The sequence below is a fragment of the Homo sapiens genome, chromosome 21, assembly GCF_000001405.40.
Source record: "Homo sapiens chromosome 21, GRCh38.p14 Primary Assembly".
Classification (NCBI taxonomy): Eukaryota; Metazoa; Chordata; class Mammalia; order Primates; family Hominidae; genus Homo; species Homo sapiens.
Window position 1 is genome coordinate 33,544,916 of NC_000021.9, and position 23,910 is coordinate 33,568,825.

A 23,910-nucleotide genomic window follows, 5' to 3' on the forward strand; every position below is an offset into this window, starting at 1 on the left:
TTTATTACTAGAGGAATATGCAGCTTCTCTTCAACACATAATGCGTTATCAGTCTGCAAACAAGTTTTTGATTATTTGCCATTTCAGTGAGCTGTTTTTTTTCTCATCTGCTTTTATGTAAATTAGAGTAATGAGGCTGACATTTAGATAGTTAAAACAAGTTATCGAACTTCTGTTATAGATGGTGTGTAAGAATATGGCCTCTGGTTTGAGTACCAGCTTCACCTCTTAGTAGCTGTGTGACCTTCAGCTAAGTTTCTTCATTTATAAAAGAATAATAGTGGTGATCTCAGAGTTTTGTTAGGATTAAATGAGTTAATGTAGAACAGTATGACACTAGTAGTCAATAAATGATAATTATTATAACTATAATTATACAATTCATTGTATTAGAAAGCCAGATGTTCCTTAATAATAATTAGGTAACTACTGAATTTTTTTTGGTTTTTGACCATTCAGACTTTTATCAGGTAGTGGAGCATAATTGATGTGTTTTCATTTAGCTAAAATTGAAGTTAAAATCAAACTGTTGCTGAAAGTATTTGATTTTTCAAAATTTTGCAAATTCACACAAAAATAGTAAAAATTACTGGGCGAATGATATGTTCTTACCTATTTAAAAATTTCTCTGGCCCTGTGAATGGAACATGTGTTAAGCCATCTATGCTTTTACTGTTGGTATAAATGCCACTTGTTTTATGTGAGTTTTATAAACCAGAGTTCTTGATAATTGTGTAAAAATTACATAAATTATTTTCCTTTTTAAGTTCAGTGGCATTTCAGTAGCAATGTAAGCCTGGACAGAGGTTACAGGTTACCCTTTTTATTCAGTGTGCCTGTGGCTAACTTTTGTGTTCCTTGATACTATTGATGGTGATTGTGATTTATGCACAGCTGTGGCTTTAATGTAGCCATGGTTTCTACCATAATGTTAGGCCACATGTTTTTCTTTTGATTTGTGACCGGGCTCTTATTAATTTTTCTCCCCTGAAAGAAATATGTGGGTATCCCAAAAGCCTAAAGTTAGATTTCTGAAATTATTTTGTTTAACAAAGAGTGTACTTAGAAACCTGTTTTCTTAATTTTCATAGTTCTGAAAACTTTAATTGTATAAAAATGAAATGTCCAAAATATAAGTAGATCATGGTAAGAAGCATTATTAGTGGTGAATATCTAAAATAGGAAAAAGGTAAAACATCTGACAGTCAGTACAACATATGATTATTGTAATTAATTGGATTTTTTTATTAATGGTATGATAAAATATTAATGAATTTCGATAACTTTTCATGTCAAGTGGAAGGAATGAAGGCCAGCTGAATGGTGAAACAAATACACCCATTGAAGGAAACCAGGCGGGTGATGCAGCTGCCTCTGCCAGGAGTCTACCAAATGAAGAAATAGTGCAGAAGATAGAGGAAGTACTTTCTGGGGTCTTAGATACAGAACTACGATATAAGCCAGGTAAGTTGGAGATAATTAACTGTCTCAAAAATTTTCTTTTAAGATTTTTTTGAAATTTGAAGGTTAATGTTAGTTTTTGACTTCAGTATTTAAGATATTTATTAAATTAAAAACTTTAGGCTGGGTGCGATGGCTCACGCCTGTAATCCCAGCACTTTGGGAGGCTGAGGTGGGTGGATCACCTGAGGTCAGGAGTTCCAGACCAACCTGGTCAACATGGAGAAACCCCCATCTCTACTGAAAATACAAAAATTAGCCGGGTGTGGTGGTGGGTGCCTGTAATCCCAGCTACTTGGGAAGCTGAGGCAGGAGAATCGCATGAACCCAGGAGGCGAATGTTGCAGTGCGCTGAGATTGCGCCATTGCACTCCAGCCTGGGCGACAAGAATGAAACTCCATCTCAAAAAAAAATTTTTTTTTCAGTAAATTTAAGCTTTTGTTTAATTGATTTAATGAAGACTTTCTTGTTTAAATTTTCCTTCCATACTTCCACTGGAAAACAAACATTGATGTACTTGTTTACTCTGCTGGTAGAATATAATTTTTATTTTTGACTTAGTTTCAGTTTATTTGATTCAGTTTCTTTTTCTTTTCTTTTCTTTTTTCTTTTTTTTGAGACAGTTTCACTCTTTTTGCCCAGCCTGGAGTGCAATGGCGTGATCTCGGCTCACCGCAACCTCCGCCTCCCAGGTTCAAGTGATTCTCCTGCCTCAGCCTCCCAAGTAGCTGGGATTACAGGCGCCTGCCACCATGCCCGGCTAATTTTTTTTTGTATTTTTAGTAGAAACGGGGTTTCACCGTGTTGGCCAGGGTGGTCTGGTCTCGATCTCTTGACCTCATGATCCGCACACCTTGGCCTCCCAAAGTGCTGGGATTACAGGCGTGAGCCACCGCGCCCGGCTTGATTAAGTTTCTTAGTATCAGGAATTTGAGTATGGATTTTTATTAAACAGTTGTGTAAAAATACCCATCCCACTTAAACTGCAGTGGATGGAGAGGAATCATTGCTTGAATATTTAGCGTTTTTGGAATTGATTAATTGATGTTTAGAAATGAAGGATTTAGCCACAAAAATAACAGTCATTACCTTGATTTAGTTCTGGAATCAAGTTTGTAATATGGTTGGTTTGTCCTCTTTTTTGGGGGGAACTTTAGCTGTGCTTAGATTCATGACTCTCAAACAGACTTGCTTAGATTCATGGCTCTAACAACCTTCATTGAAGTATGACTTATCTAACATTTTGTATTATGAAACAAACAATTAATAGAAAATGGTAAGTTTTGCTTTGGCCTATGTCAAGTGTTGATTTATTTTCTTCTGTAGTCTTTTTTTTTTTTTTTTTTTTTTTTTTTGAGACGGAGTCTCGCTCTGACGCCCAGGCTGGAGTGCAGTGGGGTGATCTCAGCTGACTGCAAGCTCCGCCTCCCGGGTTCACGCCATTGTCCTGCCTCAGCCTCCGGAGTAGCTGGGACTACAGGCGCACACCACCACGCCCGGCTAATTTTTTGTATTTTTTTTTTTTTTAGTAGAGACGGGGTTTTACCGTGTTAGCCAGGATGGTCTTGATCTCCTGGCCTCGTGATCCACACGTCTTGGCCTCCCAAAGTGCTGGGATTACAGGCGTGAGCCACAGTGCCCGGCCTTTTTTCTGTAGTCTTAATGGCTCAGATTTCTGATGAGCTTTTTTGGGGGTCCCTAAGATTTATCTAATTTGATATTGGCATTAGAGTAAATAAATCCCATCTGGTTGTTAAAGTTGAATACTCCCATCTCTTTAGGGTATGTAAATTCAAACCTTCTTAAGTTGTAAATTAAGGACTAAGAATTTCCTCTCTAAAATCAGTATTCTTTTCTAAAATAGAAACATTTGAAAAGTTATTTATTAGTGGTTTTAGAATAGTATTGGGGGAAAATGTTATCTCTTTAGGGTATGTAAATTCAAACTTTCTTAAGTTATAAGGACTAAGAATTTCCTCTCTAAAATCAGTATCCTTTTCTAAAACAGAAACATTTAAAAAGTTATTTTAGTGGTTTCAGAATAGTATTGGGGGAAAATATTATTTTTATTAGAATGTAACGTAGGCATGATAAGGTAAAATTTGAGTTCTCTATGAATATTTTATATTTGTTATTCAGATATTTTTATACTCTGTAGAAGCAATCACTAACCTTTGTTGAAAGCTTATTCTGTGCCAGGCATTATTTGATGTACTTTGCATGTTTTAACTCACTTTATCCTCTAACTCTAGAAGACACAAGTGTGTCAGTAATTTGGCCAAGACCATTAACCTAGTAAGTGATGAACTGATTGAGGATTCAAAAGTGGCAGTCTGTTCCAGAGCCAGTGCCATGTTGCTTCCTGTATAAACAAGGGTTAATAATCGCAAAAATTATATTATGTGGGTATTTTTAATAGAAACTGTAGCAACTAATAACATGAAATATATTCAGTGACAAAAGTAGTTTAAAAGTAATTTTGCTATGATTTGAGAGCTGGAGGGAATAATTATTTTAATAGAATTTAGTGAAACATGTCTTAATGTAATTCAAAGTAAGTTTTGGTGTTTAATAATTTATTTTTAACCCAGGCATTAGTTGTGGAAAGAATTATCAGAAAAGTAGTAGTCTCCAGGTTAACTGTTTTATGAAAAATAGTTTATTTGGTAACTTTTAATTTAACGTGAGGTGTTATACTGTGGGGTTTTTTTTTTTTTTTGAGACAGAGTCTTGCTCTGTTGCCTAGGCTGGAGTACAGTGGTGCAATTTCAGCTCACTGAAACCTCGACCTACTGGGTTCAAGTGATCCGCCTCAGCCTCCCAAATAGCTGGGACTACAGGTGCGCGTCACCATGCCTGGCTAATTTTTGTATTTTTAGTAGAGATGGGGTTTCACCATGCTGGCCAGGCTGGTTTTGAACTCCTGACCTCATGATCCACCTGCCTTGGCCTCTCAGAGTGCTAAGATTACAGGCGTGAGCCACTGTACTTGGCCTGTACTAAGGTGTTTTAACATGGAATGTAAATATGGGTTTATATGATTTAATCTAACTCTACTTTGGGGAATGTCTGACAAAATTAATTTCTATTACTTTTAGACTTGAAAGAGGGCTCCAGAAAAAGTAGATGCGTATCTGTACAAACAGATCCTACTGATGAAATTCCCACTAAAAAGTCAAAGAAGCATAAAAAGCACAAAAACAAAAAGAAGAAAAAGAAGAAAGAAAAGGAAAAAAAATATAAAAGACAGCCAGAAGAATCTGAGTCAAAGACGAAATCTCATGATGATGGGAACATAGATTTAGAATCTGATTCCTTTTTAAAGTTTGATTCTGAACCTTCAGCTGTGGCGCTGGAGCTTCCTACAAGAGCATTTGGCCCATCTGAGACCAATGAATCCCCTGCAGTTGTGCTAGAACCTCCTGTAGTATCAATGGAGGTATCAGAGCCACACATCTTAGAAACTCTGAAGCCAGCTACAAAAACTGCAGAACTGTCAGTTGTATCTACATCAGTAATCTCAGAGCAGTCAGAGCAGTCTGTGGCAGTAATGCCAGAACCATCCATGACAAAGATTCTGGATTCCTTTGCAGCAGCACCAGTGCCTACTACAACACTGGTGTTGAAGTCATCTGAGCCAGTTGTAACAATGTCAGTGGAGTATCAGATGAAGTCTGTGCTGAAATCTGTGGAGAGCACATCTCCAGAGCCATCAAAGATCATGTTGGTAGAGCCCCCAGTAGCAAAAGTGTTAGAGCCTTCAGAAACCCTTGTGGTATCATCAGAGACACCTACTGAGGTGTACCCTGAGCCAAGCACATCAACAACAATGGATTTTCCAGAGTCATCTGCAATTGAAGCGCTAAGATTGCCAGAGCAGCCTGTAGACGTACCATCGGAGATTGCAGATTCATCCATGACAAGACCGCAGGAGTTGCCGGAGCTGCCTAAGACCACAGCGTTGGAGCTGCAGGAGTCGTCGGTGGCCTCAGCGATGGAGTTGCCGGGGCCACCTGCGACCTCCATGCCGGAGTTGCAGGGGCCCCCTGTGACTCCAGTGCTGGAGTTACCTGGGCCCTCTGCTACCCCGGTGCCAGAGTTGCCAGGGCCCCTTTCTACCCCAGTGCCTGAGTTGCCAGGGCCCCCTGCGACAGCAGTGCCTGAGTTGCCAGGGCCCTCTGTGACACCAGTGCCACAGTTGTCGCAGGAATTGCCAGGGCTTCCAGCACCATCCATGGGGTTGGAGCCACCACAGGAGGTACCAGAGCCACCTGTGATGGCACAGGAGTTGCCAGGGCTGCCTTTGGTGACAGCAGCAGTAGAGTTGCCAGAGCAGCCTGCGGTAACAGTAGCAATGGAGTTGACCGAACAACCTGTGACGACGACAGAGTTGGAGCAGCCTGTGGGGATGACAACGGTGGAACATCCTGGGCATCCTGAGGTGACAACGGCAACAGGGTTGCTGGGGCAGCCTGAGGCAACGATGGTGCTGGAGTTGCCAGGACAGCCAGTGGCAACGACAGCGCTGGAGTTGCCGGGGCAGCCTTCGGTGACTGGGGTGCCAGAGTTGCCAGGGCTGCCTTCGGCAACTAGGGCACTGGAGTTGTCGGGGCAGCCTGTGGCAACTGGGGCACTAGAGTTGCCTGGGCCGCTCATGGCAGCTGGGGCACTGGAGTTCTCGGGGCAGTCTGGGGCAGCTGGAGCACTGGAGCTTTTGGGGCAGCCTCTGGCAACAGGGGTGCTGGAGTTGCCAGGGCAGCCTGGGGCGCCAGAGTTGCCTGGGCAGCCTGTGGCAACTGTGGCGCTGGAGATCTCTGTTCAGTCTGTGGTGACAACATCGGAGCTGTCAACGATGACCGTGTCGCAGTCCCTGGAGGTGCCCTCGACGACAGCGCTGGAATCCTATAATACGGTAGCACAGGAGCTGCCTACTACATTAGTGGGGGAGACTTCTGTAACAGTAGGAGTGGATCCCTTGATGGCCCCAGAATCCCATATATTAGCTTCTAACACCATGGAGACCCATATATTAGCATCCAACACCATGGACTCCCAAATGCTAGCGTCCAACACCATGGACTCCCAGATGCTAGCATCCAACACCATGGACTCCCAGATGTTAGCGTCTAGCACCATGGACTCCCAGATGTTAGCAACTAGCTCCATGGACTCCCAGATGTTAGCAACTAGCTCCATGGACTCCCAGATGTTAGCAACTAGCACTATGGACTCCCAGATGTTAGCAACCAGTTCCATGGACTCCCAGATGTTAGCAACCAGCTCCATGGACTCCCAGATGTTAGCAACCAGCTCCATGGACTCCCAGATGTTAGCAACCAGCTCCATGGACTCCCAGATGTTAGCAACCAGCACCATGGATTCTCAGATGTTAGCAACCAGCACCATGGACTCCCAGATGTTAGCAACTAGCTCAATGGATTCCCAGATGTTAGCATCTGGCACTATGGACTCTCAAATGTTAGCTTCTGGCACCATGGATGCTCAGATGTTAGCGTCTGGTACCATGGATGCCCAGATGTTAGCGTCTAGTACCCAAGATTCTGCTATGTTGGGTTCAAAATCTCCTGATCCCTATAGGTTAGCTCAGGATCCTTACAGGTTAGCTCAGGATCCCTATAGGTTGGGCCATGACCCCTATAGATTAGGTCATGATGCTTACAGGTTAGGACAAGACCCTTATAGATTAGGCCATGATCCCTACAGACTAACTCCTGATCCCTATAGGATGTCACCTAGACCCTACAGGATAGCACCCAGGTCCTATAGAATAGCACCCAGGCCATATAGGTTAGCACCTAGACCCCTGATGTTAGCATCTAGACGTTCTATGATGATGTCCTATGCTGCAGAACGTTCCATGATGTCATCTTACGAACGCTCTATGATGTCTTATGAGCGGTCTATGATGTCCCCTATGGCTGAACGCTCTATGATGTCAGCCTACGAGCGCTCTATGATGTCAGCCTACGAGCGCTCTATGATGTCCCCTATGGCTGAGCGCTCTATGATGTCAGCTTATGAACGCTCCATGATGTCAGCTTATGAACGCTCCATGATGTCCCCAATGGCTGATCGATCTATGATGTCCATGGGTGCTGACCGGTCTATGATGTCGTCATACTCTGCTGCTGACCGGTCTATGATGTCATCGTACTCTGCAGCTGACCGATCTATGATGTCATCTTATACTGCTGATCGTTCAATGATGTCTATGGCTGCTGATTCTTACACCGATTCTTACACTGACACATATACAGAGGCATATATGGTGCCACCTTTGCCTCCTGAAGAGCCCCCAACAATGCCACCGTTGCCACCTGAGGAGCCACCAATGACACCACCATTGCCTCCTGAGGAACCACCAGAGGGTCCAGCATTGCCCACTGAGCAGTCAGCATTAACAGCTGAAAATACTTGGCCTACAGAGGTGCCATCATCACCATCTGAAGAGTCTGTATCGCAGCCTGAGCCTCCTGTGAGTCAAAGTGAGATTTCGGAGCCTTCAGCAGTGCCTACTGATTATTCAGTGTCAGCATCAGATCCCTCAGTTTTAGTATCAGAGGCTGCTGTGACTGTTCCAGAACCACCACCAGAGCCAGAATCTTCAATTACGTTAACACCTGTAGAGTCTGCAGTAGTAGCAGAAGAACATGAAGTTGTTCCAGAGAGACCAGTGACTTGTATGGTATCTGAAACTCCCGCCATGTCAGCTGAACCAACTGTGTTAGCATCAGAGCCTCCTGTTATGTCAGAGACAGCAGAAACATTTGATTCCATGAGAGCCTCAGGACATGTTGCCTCAGAAGTATCTACATCCTTGTTGGTTCCAGCAGTAACTACTCCAGTGCTGGCAGAGAGCATTCTGGAGCCGCCAGCCATGGCTGCCCCAGAGTCTTCAGCTATGGCTGTCCTGGAGTCTTCGGCTGTGACCGTCCTGGAGTCTTCGACTGTGACTGTCCTGGAGTCTTCGACTGTAACTGTCCTGGAGCCTTCGGTTGTGACTGTCCCGGAGCCTCCTGTTGTGGCTGAGCCAGACTATGTTACCATTCCTGTGCCAGTTGTTTCTGCGCTGGAGCCTTCTGTGCCTGTTCTGGAACCAGCGGTGTCAGTCCTTCAACCTTCTATGATTGTTTCAGAACCATCTGTTTCTGTCCAGGAATCGACTGTGACAGTTTCAGAGCCTGCTGTCACAGTCTCAGAGCAGACTCAAGTAATACCAACTGAGGTGGCTATAGAGTCCACACCAATGATACTGGAATCTAGTATCATGTCATCACATGTTATGAAAGGAATTAATCTATCCTCTGGTGATCAAAATCTTGCTCCAGAGATTGGCATGCAGGAGATTGCATTGCATTCAGGTGAAGAACCACATGCTGAGGAACACCTGAAAGGTGACTTTTACGAAAGTGAACATGGTATAAATATAGACCTTAATATAAATAATCATTTAATTGCTAAAGAGATGGAACATAATACAGTGTGTGCTGCTGGTACTAGTCCTGTTGGGGAAATTGGTGAAGAGAAAATTTTGCCCACCAGTGAGACTAAACAGCGCACAGTATTGGATACCTACCCTGGTGTTAGTGAAGCTGATGCAGGAGAAACTCTATCTTCTACTGGTCCTTTTGCTCTGGAACCTGATGCAACAGGAACTAGTAAGGGTATTGAATTTACCACAGCATCTACTCTCAGTTTAGTTAATAAATATGATGTTGATTTATCTTTAACTACTCAAGATACTGAACATGACATGGTAATTTCCACCAGTCCTAGTGGTGGTAGTGAAGCTGACATTGAAGGGCCTTTGCCTGCTAAAGATATTCATCTTGATTTACCATCTAATAATAACCTTGTTAGTAAGGATACAGAAGAACCATTACCTGTAAAAGAGAGTGACCAGACATTAGCAGCTCTGCTCAGCCCTAAAGAAAGTAGTGGAGGAGAAAAAGAAGTACCTCCCCCTCCTAAAGAGACACTGCCTGATTCAGGATTTTCTGCCAATATTGAGGATATTAATGAAGCAGATTTAGTGAGACCGTTACTTCCTAAGGACATGGAACGTCTTACAAGCCTTAGAGCTGGCATTGAAGGACCTTTACTTGCAAGTGATGTTGGACGTGACAGATCTGCTGCCAGCCCGGTTGTAAGTAGTATGCCAGAAAGAGCTTCAGAGTCTTCTTCAGAGGAAAAAGATGATTATGAAATTTTTGTAAAAGTTAAGGACACTCACGAAAAAAGCAAGAAAAATAAGAACCGTGATAAGGGGGAGAAAGAGAAGAAAAGAGACTCTTCATTAAGATCTCGAAGTAAGCGTTCCAAATCTTCTGAACACAAATCACGCAAGCGTACCAGTGAATCTCGTTCTAGGGCAAGAAAGAGATCATCTAAGTCCAAGTCTCATCGCTCTCAGACACGTTCACGGTCACGTTCAAGACGCAGGAGGAGAAGCAGCAGATCAAGATCAAAGTCTAGAGGAAGAAGATCTGTATCAAAAGAGAAGCGCAAAAGATCTCCAAAGCACAGATCCAAGTCTAGGGAAAGAAAAAGAAAAAGATCAAGCTCCAGGGATAACCGAAAGACAGTTAGAGCTCGAAGTCGAACCCCAAGTCGTCGGAGTCGGAGTCATACTCCAAGTCGTCGACGAAGGTCTAGATCTGTGGGTAGAAGAAGGAGCTTTAGCATTTCCCCAAGCCGCCGCAGCCGCACCCCCAGCCGCCGCAGCCGCACCCCCAGCCGCCGCAGCCGCACCCCCAGCCGCCGCAGCCGCACCCCCAGCCGCCGGAGCCGCACCCCTAGCCGTCGGAGCCGCACCCCAAGCCGCCGGAGAAGATCAAGGTCTGTGGTAAGAAGACGAAGCTTCAGTATCTCACCAGTCAGATTAAGGCGATCAAGAACACCCTTAAGAAGAAGGTTTAGCAGATCTCCCATCCGTCGTAAAAGATCCAGGTCTTCTGAACGAGGCAGATCACCCAAACGTCTGACAGATTTGGGTGAGTCATTTTAAAGTTTAATGGGATGGTAGTAGAAAATGTTTTAAACCTTAATTTTTTTCTGACCTTGAGTCAAGTGAAATACTTAGTTACTGGTTTAGGATAAATGTTTCTGTCTTTAAGTTTTTATTATTACATGGTACTGTATTTAGGAACTACTGGGATCAGTGTATTATAATTAGAGTTAAAAAGTCCTGTTTCAGAGTATAATAGAACCAAGGTGTTTCCATATTTGAATGTTTTATTTTGTTTTAGTTATCTTGCCATAGCTAAAAATTGAAAGCAGAAACAGATGTAGAACTCTAGCTAAATTAAAAACAAGCTAAGTATATGCTCAGATTGTTATTGTATGTGTTCTAACATACATCCTTGCAACTAAGCCTAAAATTACAATGTTCCTTTTTAAATAAGTTAACATATCTTAAAATGGCATTATAGGACTGTTAAATGAAGGTAATTCTGATTGGTATAGTTGGTAATGGAAGTGAGTGGGGAATTTTGCGTGTGGGGGTTATTTAATTGGGTAGGTGATACTAGCTAAATAAAGTTAAATATTTTAGATCAGTGTGATTTTTAATAACCTGTTCTGCTTTACTTTAAAGATAACTGTTCTAATTTCCCCTGATTTTTAGTGTGCAGAGGTGATTAAAACTTGATCGATATGAATGATTACCTATAATAAATATGGATAATTTATCCTTATCCCAGTATACTGGACATTTCTAGGCCAGGATTGTCTAAAGAAGAAGAGGTTAAGAGTAAAAAGGGAGAATCTGCATTCAGTTCAACAGAAGTTTTCTGAGTTCTTTTTTATTCACAGCAGAGGAACAGTATGTAATTCCTCAAGTGATTGCAAGTGGTGGAGGAGACATGGGTAAAATGCATATATGTCTCTCTTATAGTAACACTGTCTAAAAAGGACAGAATGTGATTACTATAATACTGATAGAGGTGAGGTACTTTAGGAACACAATGGGAAAAGGGGAAAAGGAATGTTAATTCTGACTTAATGACAGCTTGTTAGAAGAGGTGGCACTTCGGCTGGGCATGGTGGCTCATACCTGTAATCCCAGCACTTTGGGAGGCCGAGGCAGGTGGATCACCTGAGGTCAGGAGTTCGAGACCAGCCTGGCCAATGTGGAGAAACCCCATCTCTACTAAAAATACAAAAAATTAGATGGGTGTGGTGGCACGCGCCTGTAGTCCCAGCTACTCGGGAGGCTGAGACAGGAGAATCACTTGAACCTGGGAGGTGGAAGTTGCAGTGAGCCAAGATGGCGCCACTGCACTGCAGCCTGGGCGACAGAGTGAGACTGTCTCAAAAAAAAAAAAAAAAAGAGGTGGCACTTGAACTGGGGCTCAAAGAGTGATTTAAGGTGTCAGAAGGAGAGTAAGGTCATGATAATTTTGTGAAATGAAATAGGCTTTGGCAGGTTTATATCTTAGAGTGTGTGTAGTAGGGTGATCATTATAGTTGTGTAGTAACCTATTGTAATATTCTAATGGGAAGCTCAATATGTGGACTTAATTCCCTGAATGAGGCCACTGCTGAAAAACTTTGAGCCAGTGGTTTGATCATAGCTGTAACTTAGAGCAGAATATTGATGCCTATAGTTTTTTCCTTTTTTTTTTTCTTTTTTGTTAGATACCCAAGTTCTTCGATGGATCTAGGATGCCTTTAGTTTTGTTAGTATGTTAGACTTTTGGTAATACAAAATGTACAGTCTTTTAGGAAAACTGCAGCTTGTATTTTTCTTCTTACAGATAAGGCTCAATTACTTGAAATAGCCAAAGCTAATGCAGCTGCCATGTGTGCTAAGGCTGGTGTCCCTTTACCACCAAACCTAAAGCCTGCACCTCCACCTACTATAGAAGAGAAAGTTGCTAAAAAGTCAGGAGGAGCTACTATAGAAGAACTAACTGAGGTAAGCTAGACAGAATTTGTTTTCATTCTTAAATGGATTATTCCAGTGATGTTGACTCTGGAGCGTGCCAAAACCCGAATTGTGGGCAGAACTGATAATGGCTGGCACCGAGTGGCCAAAACCCGAAATACAGATGTGGCAGCGGCAGAAGCTCTGTTTAGCAGGCCATTATCCGGGATGGCTAAGCTCCGCTAGCTAAAAGTTACTTCCCATTACTTTTGCTTTCCAGTTTTAGAAGCCAAACTGACTGAGGAGTGGGACGGTTCGTTTGAATGGAGGAGGTGTTGAGTGAGCAACACGCAGAAGCTCGCCTACAGTTTCGTTTCCATTCACGACGCGTTCACTGATCGCCACGAGTATACTGCATATACGCAAAGACACAGACAATCTTCAGAAATGATCTTTTGCCACCGGAGCTTGGAAATTAATAAGAATAGCTGGCCATTGCCTGAAAGGAACTTCTTTCGCATCAACATTTCGGGTTTTGGCTGTTTGGTACCAGCCATTGGCGATAATGGCCGGCCATTATCAGTTCTTCCTGCGGTTCGGGTTTTGGCAGTAACATATATATTTTAAACACACTTATTTTTGTTTTTAAAAGTTTGATCTTTTCAATTGAGGCTTTTTTGGGGCTTTGTTTTATTACTATTTTTTTGGTGTGGGTGGATGGGGGGAGATGCTAAAATATTGCTGCTAGGATCCAGAAATACCACACTGTTTCATATATTGGAACTTGTTATTGGCTAGCCTTATGCCAGCCTGCCACTGTCAATATATTCTGTTCCCCTTGGTTACAAGCTTAATATACTCTTGTGTTTTTGGCGAAATGAGCTTTTTATCCTATTGTAATATTTTCAATTGATAATAGATGTCATTAAATCTACTGCTTGTATAGAGACAGGTGTACCCAAATTTACTCTTGACCTTTTTATAAAGCCAGGTAATGGAGTCTGTTCCTTTGCATCTCAGGAAGGAATTGACTTTGCTTTATGTATCAGACCTCATCAATTGCACCCTCTCCATCATGCCTTATTTTCCTAAGTTCTCCTTAAAGAAACTCAACCCACAAAACATTTATGGAGAGACATGTTGCTATCTAATCCTGTTGCAAATATTTCAGATCTTTTGTTTTGCCATACATCTGGGAAAATGTAAAGCTTCTGAATCTGTTTCCTCACTTAGATTTATTACAATATGAATTACAACTTTTTTTAAAAAATTAAGGACCTTGTAAACGCTTCTATTGCTTATTTACCTAATCCAAGCTCCTTATCCAAAATGCTAAGGACAGTTAGTATTTTGCTGTTTTCGGCCCCATCTTCAGCCTTCTTGTCCCAAGTTTCTTCTCACCTTTTTACCACCACCTGACTAGGATGACTTCTCCTTTCCCTACCAGTCTTTGTTCTTTACTATGAAAATCTGGCTTAGAACTCTTCAAGGAATATTCCTTGATTCTCTAACTCTGCCTGACTATTCTCTCTTAAGCCTTTGTTCTTTTAGCACTTATGTACTCAGTTTGTATTATATCAGTTTGCACTTGTTATTGTGTTGCTCTGTAAAAGTGTTCAATTATTTCATGTATATGTATTCCTTCTCTTGTACTAGATTGTAAGCTCCTTGAGAGCAGGGACCATGTCTTCTACTTTTTTTTTTTTTTTTTTTTTTTGTATTCCCCAGACAGTGCCCAGTACAGTGCTCTCTCTGCACATAGTAGGTGCTCAATAAATGTTGTTGACTGACTGACCAGCCAGAGTGTGTTTAAATAGTAGTTAATATGCCAAGTTACGTATCTATAACCTATCATGAATCTTGTTTAACTTTGGAAAGTTGCTATTATGTGGTTTTGATTCTAAGAAATTACATGTTCTACATAAAGCGTAAGATTTATCTTTTGTTTGTTTTTACTTTTAAAGAAATGTAAACAGATCGCACAGAGTAAAGAAGATGATGATGTAATAGTGAATAAACCTCATGTTTCGGATGAAGAGGAAGAAGAACCTCCTTTTTATCATCATCCCTTTAAACTCAGTGAACCCAAACCTATTTTTTTCAATCTGAATGTGAGTATTAGTGCTTATGGATTGGTAAAACAGTGTAACTTGTGGAACTATTTAAATAAAACCCAAATCGAATTTAGTTTATTAATTTTTGTTTTAAATACTGTGAGAAATAATGGATAATATCATTTCCTTCAGATTATGTAGAAAATCTCAAACCATTTAATGTAGATATCATATTGAGCTTTAATTAAGAAACACTTTATTTTTTAGATTGCTGCAGCAAAACCAACTCCACCAAAAAGCCAGGTAACATTAACAAAAGAATTCCCTGTATCATCTGGATCTCAACATCGGAAAAAAGAAGCGGATAGTGTTTATGGAGAATGGGTTCCTGTGGAGAAAAATGGTGAAGAAAACAAAGATGATGATAATGTTTTCAGCAGCAATTTGCCCTCAGAGGTAAGTAGGAGGAATATTATGTATTTTTCCTTTTTTATACCTGAATCTGCCATTTCATTGTTATGTTATGTCTGATTTGGATTCTGTTTCACTCTTCTTAGGGCCGGGTTAAACGGCAGGGCCGGGTTAGACGACAGATGAAACAACCCGCAGCTTCTCATTTGACAGTAACTCGATGCAATTCACTTTGTGGAACCAAGCCACAAAGTGAAAAGCATCGAATTGCAGAGAACAGTGTTATCACATCCCTACCCAACATTGGGCCCTCCCTGCACTTGTGGGAAGGTAGTCCAAGGTACAACTATTTAGCTTCCCGATTTGCTTCAAGGCTCTATAGCTCTAGATTTTGGTGGTAGCAAATTTATCGGGTGGAGGGATTGATCGGAGAGGGCAGATCCTCAGGTTCAACACAAGAACTGGATTGGAAAAGGTCATTGTAGGTTGATGTGAGCATCTTGGGTACATAGCCCATTGCCCTTAATGATGGTTTCTTACTGTTTCTCTGGGTTGTTTGTCAGATAGCCTTTAATTTTAATTATTTTTCCTTCCCTTTGCTACCTTGGCCCTTTTAAATTCTTGTGTTTAACCTAATGCTCAGCCTTGGTACTCCATTCCCTTCTCCTTCCCCTCTTTGCTACTATTAAAAGTCGGAGAAGTGGAATTCAAACGTTGAAATTTCCACGGGGCTATAGTTGTATCTTAATAATGCCAAGTGTCAAAACAACCCCATTAAAATGCCGCCTGATTAAATAATGTGCTGCTAAATATAGTGCACATGAAAACAGCAAGACTGTATATATATGTAAATATATATATATATCTGTATCTTTGTATGTATCTCTGTATCTGTACCTTTGCTGTATCTTTTAATAAACAGTTTACTTTTATTTAACTTGTTGTGCAAAATCACGCTTGGGGGATGTGGGAGGGTGGAGTCTTAATAGGGGGGTGGGAGTTTTAATTACTATAGATTAGTTGTCATCGCCTCTTGCCCTTGGTTTCCAAAGCCCAGACTTTTGCCAAGGACTGGACTAGGTATCTGATGCCCATCTGGACATTTTTCTTGCAGTTCTTGGATATGTAGATCAGAGACACCTGTACTCTTCACTGTAGGTTCCCTTCCTTGGCTTGGCCATATCATCATCTTCCAGTAAACACCTCCAATTCTACAAATAAATCCTGTTTATAAAATCAGAAAGTGAACAGAACCCAAATCAGAAACTTTTTGATAGCAGTACTTTTCTCCCCAAGCTATTCACAGCTGACATTTTCACTTTTTTTTTGTTTGTTTGACCTGCAGCATTTTGAGAGAACAAGTTCTGTACAATGAAGCTGGACATGATAACTAGCCAGTGCAACTTACAGTTACTGGTGATAATCTGTATTCCCATGGGATTCAACAAGTGAAGCAAGTTATGCCATCACCAGTTAAGAGGGAGATAGTTGGTTTGGATAATATTTTAGTGAGACCATTTGAGTTGTTAATCCCCCAATCAGGCTACCTGCATATCTCAAGAGAGAAAGGTTAACTGACATGTGCAGCTGACTTAATCTTCTTGTAGTAGCTGAATAGAAACCATGATAAGAGGGTTGAACAGGCTTACTTAGAAATCCTAATATGTATGCTTTTAGTAATTTCCTGCAGTTTAAGCATTTAAAAAAGAGTTGGAAAAAAAAATAGGTAGGGAGAGAGTCTGTATGACAAATATTTTCCACTGAAGACTTAACAAATATTGCAGAATTCCAAGGGATCTTCCTGAGAAGATAAGTGAGCATAACTGTTTTGAATTTCTTCGGTTCAATCATGGGGAAAGTGCTTAGTAACTCCTGATGCTTACACTTTTTTGAGAGAGAGAGAGTGTGTGTGTGCGTCTATTTATTTGAAATTTAGTACTCAGCCATTTTCAATCTTAACACTGAGTGTGGTGCCTTAGCCTTGTTTGTCATCAAAAGTTGTCAGATTTTAATTAAAGGTTGAGGAGAATTATTCTTAAATCTGGTGGGAAAAGTTGATAGAGAAAGGTACTCAAATAATGGTGACATTATTTTTTGTTAAAAAAATTTTTTTTCTTACCAAAGAAGAATCCTAGAAGGTAAAATTATTTTACAATTCTTTTCAAAGGGCTAAATGAATAAAGCAGATGATGTCTCTTGTGGGACGATATATGTAACTATTTGATATAAAACCTCTTTAAGCTGCTTAGAAGATTAGACTCAAAAGAACATACAGATTAATTCTAAAGAAGAGAATCCCAAAATACAAGGGCAAAGAGGCAGGATTGCCTTTTGCTTTCATATCTGCACTTTTACCTGGCAATAATGTTAAAATGTGTAGAGGAAATAGTCACAATTTAAAATGTTTAGTTCCAGTTATTTAGTGACCATCTAAATATACTATATTGTATATATAGAAGGTAAAAGTAATGAATTTATTATTTATACAATTAGTGTTATATATACCAATGTTGTGAAATACTTTTGGTAACACTTCGTGGGAGCATTAACCCTTTTGATTCCTTGTTAGAGTTTGAAATAAAGGCTTCTAGAGTAAAAGGAGATAGTTCTTTTAAATGGTCAACCTTTGAACTGAATAGTAATTTTTATCTATGCCTTTTTCATTTTAATAAATATAAATGGAGTTTGTGGTTCTTTGTTGTTGAGCATAAAACATTTAGGCAAAGATCACAGATTTTATCTCCATAAGAGGGCTGAATTAGCTTTGCTGTAATCCCTAATCCCACCAATTGTCTTGCATATGAATGCTCTTTGACATGAGTATGAATGGATAGACATTGTGGATGAAGCAGCATAAATTCATTTCTTATGGAAAAACAACTCATCAGACTGTGTGCGGTACTGCCATAGCATCGTCTTCATACTCAGAAACCAGCCAGCATCATCCTCAGTAAGGAGTGACTACAGAACTTTGACTGTATTTGTGTGAATTTGATTTATAAACAATGAAATAAAATGTTGGAAAACTAATATTTTAAAAATAGTCCTCAGGGGCATTAATTCTTGGTAATAAAGTTAGTAGAGGTTTATTGAGTAGAAGATTAGGATGTAATCTTTGACATAAGTGGAGTAGTAACTACTCAACTATTAGTGTGGAGTTTTCATGGATTTAGTATCAATCAAATGTTTTAGGGGTCCAGAGGTAGTATTGTTAAGGTCTAGTGAATGCTTAGATGTTAAGATCATCTTTATGTTAAGCAGTTTACTGGTTTGTATTTATCAAATCATATTTCCACATCCCAATGGAATTACAATTTTTTTAAATTTATAAGCTCTAAATGTATAGGAAAACTTGGAGAAAAATGAAAATTTTAATTGGAAATTAAACACATAGGTCCCGGCACTGCTAGAATGTGTAATATACAGCCTTGTTATTCTTTCCTTCCTAGATTCTCTTATGTGGTTAACGCTGAATTTCTCTGAACCATTTAGTAGGTTATCTATTTGTTTTCCCGTTGTACTTCATTTAGTCTATTATACACTAGAGAATTTTGTATGATACAATAAAAAGATTCGTAATTCACTTTTTAAAGCCAACCAAACACATAACTGGGACATTCTGTGGCTTTTATTTTTGTAGTTGTCATTTTGCTCTTGTATGCATTAACCTCTTTATATTTTAATATTTGCTAAATATTCTAAAATCATGTTTTATATACAGGCCAGATGCTTTTACCTTAGGTCTATTTTCTTATAATTAAAGTTTTCCTTTTATGCCTGCTTTTGAGATATCTGTGATTACCAATAATAGAAAATAATTTTCTGGTTATAGGTATTTTCCTTATCTGACTCACCCCATCCTAACAATTATCTTTAGCTCTTTTATATCCTTTCACTGATATTCTAAGAAGTCTCTTAAAATATTGTTCTTTTTATGTCAACAGTTGTGTTAACAAAAGGAGTAAATGGATTTAGAAGAATTTCCTAAATGAGAAATAAAAATGTAAAAGGCTCACTTAAATGTATTAATATAGGTCATGAAATGCATGTTATATGGTGCCAGTTGCATTATGGTAATTTCATTATGCCTCAGACACCTTTGTAGGTTTTATAAGAAGTAGTTGTCTGCTTTCTTGCTGAGGGAGAGAGAGTGAAGAATTTGGGCAGTTTTTATTTACCTGAGATTTGTAATTCAGGACACTTTTTATGTAAATTTCACCTTTTAGAGCAAAGGTGAAAAGTCAGTAAACATTTCCCCCATTATCATACCTAGAATATTACTACAGAATTATTTTTATACACTAGGTAACATGCTAGTCTTATAGTGTATTGGTAGAAACTAAGGCTTGTTGGTGACAGCTTGGTAATAGTATTCTACAGATTAAAGATTCTCTTTTTCCCAGTTTTTGGAGGGGCCTTTTACCATCATTTTGGTGCCTTTCTTATATTTCCAGTTTCTGAATATTAAACGACAGTTAAGATTCTAAAGCTCTATTGTCCAATACAGCAGTTACCAGCCCCTGAAAAATCAGGTTTTTAATCACACTAGTTACATTTCAAGTGCTCAGTAGTGATCACTGTAAGAAGTTGTACTGGGCAATGCTGCTCTAAAGGGTAGCTGTGGTATTATGAGTGTTTCAATACTGATAAGTAACATCGGGTTTGACCCTTAAACATTGCTGCTTTGGGGATTGTATTGGCTTTTTATGCCTCATTGTATAACTTGAGTTACCTTGAAAGGCTGGAAACAGGCTTTTTGATGTAAACTTTTGAGGATCTTTATGAGGTTAAGATAATCTTGATTCATTCTACTTTGAGTATATGTTTTCGCATTAAAAATAAAAATATGGCCAGGCACAGTGGCTCACGCCTGTAATCCCAGAAATTTGGGAGGCCAAGGCGGGCGGATCACCTGAGGTCAGGAGTTCAAGACCAGCCTGACCAACATGGAGAAACCGCGTCTCTCCTAAAAATACAAAATTAGCCGGGGGTGGCAGCGCATGCCTGTAATCCCAGCTACTCAGGAGGCTGAGGCAGGAGAATCACTTGAACCCAGGAGGCGAGAGGTTGCAGTGAGCCAAGACTGTGCCATTGCACTCCAGCTTGGGCAATAAGGGCGAAACTCCATCTCAAAAAAAAAAAAAAAAAAAATGAAACCAGTAGTCAAATTACTATTTGGTAATACATTTTTGACATGAACTTGCAGCTCCCTTGGTAAGTCTGTTGAAGAGTAAATGAAGTTTTACTACCTCAGGAAAAACATAGTTGTAATTTTATTTAAATATCAAGGTTGCTATAATAAAATTCCTTTCAGAATCATGAGTTTAATATGAAACACTAAGATTTGAAGAGTTTCATTCTGGGGATAAATGGTGAGGCATTTAGGTTAAACGTTTAATAAAGGCTAAGAGAGAAGAACATTCGCAGGTGTAATAGTTTGCTTTCCACTTGGAAAGAATTAGTTTTATTCTAGAAGTTATATTTTAGAGCCATCTGAATAGATGAGTAGCTAATTTATAGTTGGAAATTAGGGATCAGGAGTTGGGATAGTGGGTAGACACATTTTCCCCAGTATCCTCAGATTTTAGCCTTGTTAGAATAAAAGCCTATTATTTATGCCTAAGCACCCTAACACTTAGATTTATAGAGACTGCTAGGAAAAGCAAAGTAAGTGTGAGAAGGTTAATGAGACAGTACTTGTCGCATCTTGTGTGCCTTCAAAAATTACCTTGATAATCCTACCTGACAAAACATCTTAAGGTAGGCCTAGGGGGACATGAATTTTCACCTGAAATATCTGCATTCTCATTAAAGTCCCAGGAATCAAACAGACTTAAGTGAAAGATGACATACTAAGTTTCTTAGTGTTTCAATCTCACTTTGCTTAGATTAATATTTCTAATAGGTCTTAGAATTGTTCTAATTTGTGTGATGATTTACTTAAATCAACTTAGCGAAATTACAGTTGAGAGATTCAATTTGAAAGATGCATTCTGCAGTTGATTAGACTGTTTATAGATCTCTAGAAAGATTTATATATTAACATAAACAGTCTTAATTACAGAAAGGATTAATTTTGTTTTCATTTTAAGAAGGCATTGTATCAGAATCCATACTTAAAGAAAAACCTTGAGTTAGCTAAAGGAATATTAGTTTATTAGCAAGGTAACTAAGAATTATGGAGGATTAGGGGTTCTGAAGGTAAGAAAGATTTGTGAATCCTTATGCATGAGTTATAATTATTCTCATAGTCATACAGCCTTCTCTACTAGACAGGTCTTATTCTTAAGAGAAGTCTTTTATACATGATACATAGTCTTAATTACAGCTAGCCTCTACTTGTAAAAAAGAAAATCCTTAGCCGTTAGCTATTTACTGACTTCCCCGTATTTGTTATGTTCATGCAGTGTCTACTTATTCTTTGTATATGAAAACAGCAAAATCTTCCATGTCAGATAAGCATTTTACAAAAATGAATTTTCTTGTGTGAGATAACTAGGAAATAATAATAATGTTAAAAGAAGGACAAAAACCAAGAAATGAGTTGATAAAAATCAACTCGAGCTTTTAATTTTAGAACAAAAAAAATAACAAATACTTATCTTGATGTGTTTTTCATTCTGTGGTTAAACCTTCCACAAATCTGACAAATTAAGAATTGGCTCCAAAGATTACTTTGAAAAAAAAAGTTTCTTCCACTTGCCGTAAGGTTTTAAAAGGTAGAATATGAGCTTTGAAAAGAAACAAAAGTGTTTCAGTTGATGTTATGGACTTCCACAGAAATATTGTAATTATAAATAGTGTAATATACTTAATATAAGTAATAAGTGTGTATAAACTGAAAACATGGTTCATTTATTTATATCCTGAATATATTGTTTAAAGAAATTGGGTTCTTAAGACCAAAGTGTCCACAACTGGAAGATGTTAAAGATACGCTGATGAGTAAAGGAGTGATCATAGTGGTTTTCTGCTTGCTTGTTCAGTAATTTTGCTTACTGCTCTTGAAGGTTATGCTAATGAGTAAAATGAAAACTGCTAAGGAATGTAATAACCTTACCACAGTTCAAAAAATTTGCAGTTTACTATAAATGGCTTTCAATCATGAAGAGTAGCGAGTTTTAAGTTCTTAATGGAACTTTCTATGATTATAGTTTGATATATATATATAATAGAAAATTGACTAAATTCAGTCAGATTTTGGGTTCAGTTCTGCGACCTGTGTGATACTTTGTAATTTATCTTAATCCTCTTCTGTTTTCCAAGATTACTTTCTCTTTCTGAGTCTTCTCCCTGTTTTCCAAGATTATTAGTATTATAAGACTATTATTTTGTTTTTGATATGTAGCAACTAAAGATATGAGTACTTTTCAGAATTTAGGGGACTATGGTAATTTGAGATAATTATCTCTGTTTTCTTTCTTAGCCTGTGGACATCTCTACAGCAATGAGTGAACGGGCACTTGCTCAGAAAAGACTCAGTGAGAATGCATTTGATCTTGAAGCCATGAGCATGTTAAATAGAGCTCAGGAAAGGGTATGTAGCAGTTTTTTAAAAAAAATTATTATTTACCATCAGCCAACTCACACCAATGTACCAGTTTTAATGTCTAAATAAGAATTTTGCTAACTAGATGGTTGAGTTGTAACATCCTTTACCTTATTTTCAATGTCTTATTTTAAATGAAAGTGATTCGAGGCCTGATCATTTATTCAATAAATGTTTATTGTTTACTATGTGGCAGGAACTGTTTCTTGAGAGAACAAAATAGAAAAATTTCCCTGTCCTCACAGAGTTTACAATCTGGTGTATAAAAACAACTAAGTGCCTACAACCCTATGAAATGTGTAGGTATTAATAGTTGCCATATTTCAGCCGAGAAAACTGAAGTAAAGGGTGGTTAAGGCCAGGCATGGTCGCTGATGCCTGTAATCCCAGCACTTTGGGAGGCCGAGGTGGGGGCAAGGAGTCAGGAGTTCAAGACCAGCCTGGCCAAGGTGATGAAACCCCATCTCTACTAAAAATACAAAAATTAGCTGGGTTTGGTGTTGCATGCCTGTAATGCCAGCTACTCAGGAGGCTGAGGCAGGAGAAATGCTTGAACCTGGGAGGCAGAGGTTGCAGTGAGCCAGGATCGCGCCACTGTACTCCAGCCTGGGCAACAGAGTGAGACTGTCTAAAAAAAACAAAAGAGTGATTAAGTGATATCCATAGTCACACAACTAATTAGTGGGGGAACTGGGATTCAAACCCAAGCAATCTGAATCTGGAGTCTGTGCTTTTAACAATGGACAGCCTCTCCATTTCATTTCTACTGTTTTATGGTAAATCAGTAAGTACATGTTCAGACAGGAAATACATTGCTGACAGTGCAAGGTGTTTAGTAAATCTAATTTGTGTGAATGACAGCTGATCTTTATCACAACAAATGTTGGTGACTGAAAAAAAGTATACAAGCTTCTTTAAAAAGTTGTTTTACGGCCGGGTGCAGTGGCTCACGCCTGTTATCCCAGCACTTTGAAAGGCCGAGGCGGGCGGATCAGTTGAGGTCAGGAGTTCAAGACCAGCCTGACTAACATGGAGAAACCCTGTCTCGACTAAAAATACAAAATTAGCCGGGCGCGGTGGCGCATGTTTGTAATCAATCCCAGCTACTCTGGAGGCTGAGGCAGGAGAATCGCTTGAACTCGGGAGGAGGAGGTTGCAGTGAGCAGACATCGCACCATTGCACTCCAGCCTGGGCAACAAGAGAGAAACTCCATCTCAAAAAAAAATAGTCGTTTATGTATTCAAGTGGACAGTTTCCTACATTTAAACTCTTTAAACCTGTGTCATGAATTTAGTCTGTATAAATGTCTCAAAGGAAGTAATTAAGAATCCAGGCTGTCATGACATGTATTACAATACATTTGTATGAGATAGGAAGGGAGGGTGGGGACCCATTGTCATATGAGCTCTTTTTTGCATTTTTAGTGTATCTGTGTGATAGTTTGAAGAATATTAACAGCTGTATTTTTTAGTAGCTGTGCTTTTAGATACATTTCAAAATCTTATTAATGGGATTCACTAAATGTTGTCAAACTGCTTCTTTAGA

General features: G+C 39.4%; 1 protein-coding gene and 1 non-coding gene across 6 annotated transcripts in view; both read left to right on the forward strand.

The window, feature by feature from the left end:
- Positions 1-23,910, forward strand: part of SON (SON DNA and RNA binding protein) — a 34,444-nt gene that overhangs the window by 1,878 nt on the left and 8,656 nt on the right. For 2 of the 5 annotated variants that reach the window (NR_103797.2, NM_138927.4), the window contains exons 2-7: positions 1,298-1,464; positions 4,561-10,476; positions 12,241-12,401; positions 14,315-14,461; positions 14,672-14,860; positions 22,242-22,352. Coding sequence is in view for 4 of the 5 variants with exons in the window: in NM_138927.4 (NP_620305.3) it covers positions 1,298-1,464; positions 4,561-10,476; positions 12,241-12,401; positions 14,315-14,461; positions 14,672-14,860; positions 22,242-22,352 (6,691 nt within the window). In the remaining variant the exon portion in view is untranslated. Of the gene's footprint in view, positions 1-1,297; positions 1,465-4,560; positions 10,477-12,240; positions 12,402-12,630; positions 14,152-14,314; positions 14,462-14,671; positions 14,861-14,961; positions 15,753-22,241; positions 22,353-23,910 lie in introns of those variants that run through there. The other 3 variants (NM_032195.3, NM_001291412.3, NM_001291411.2) reach the window with 3 other exon arrangements.
- MIR6501 (microRNA 6501) lies at positions 5,747-5,813 on the forward strand. Its single transcript, NR_106756.1, has one exon. It is a non-coding gene; the product is annotated as a microRNA 6501 (primary transcript).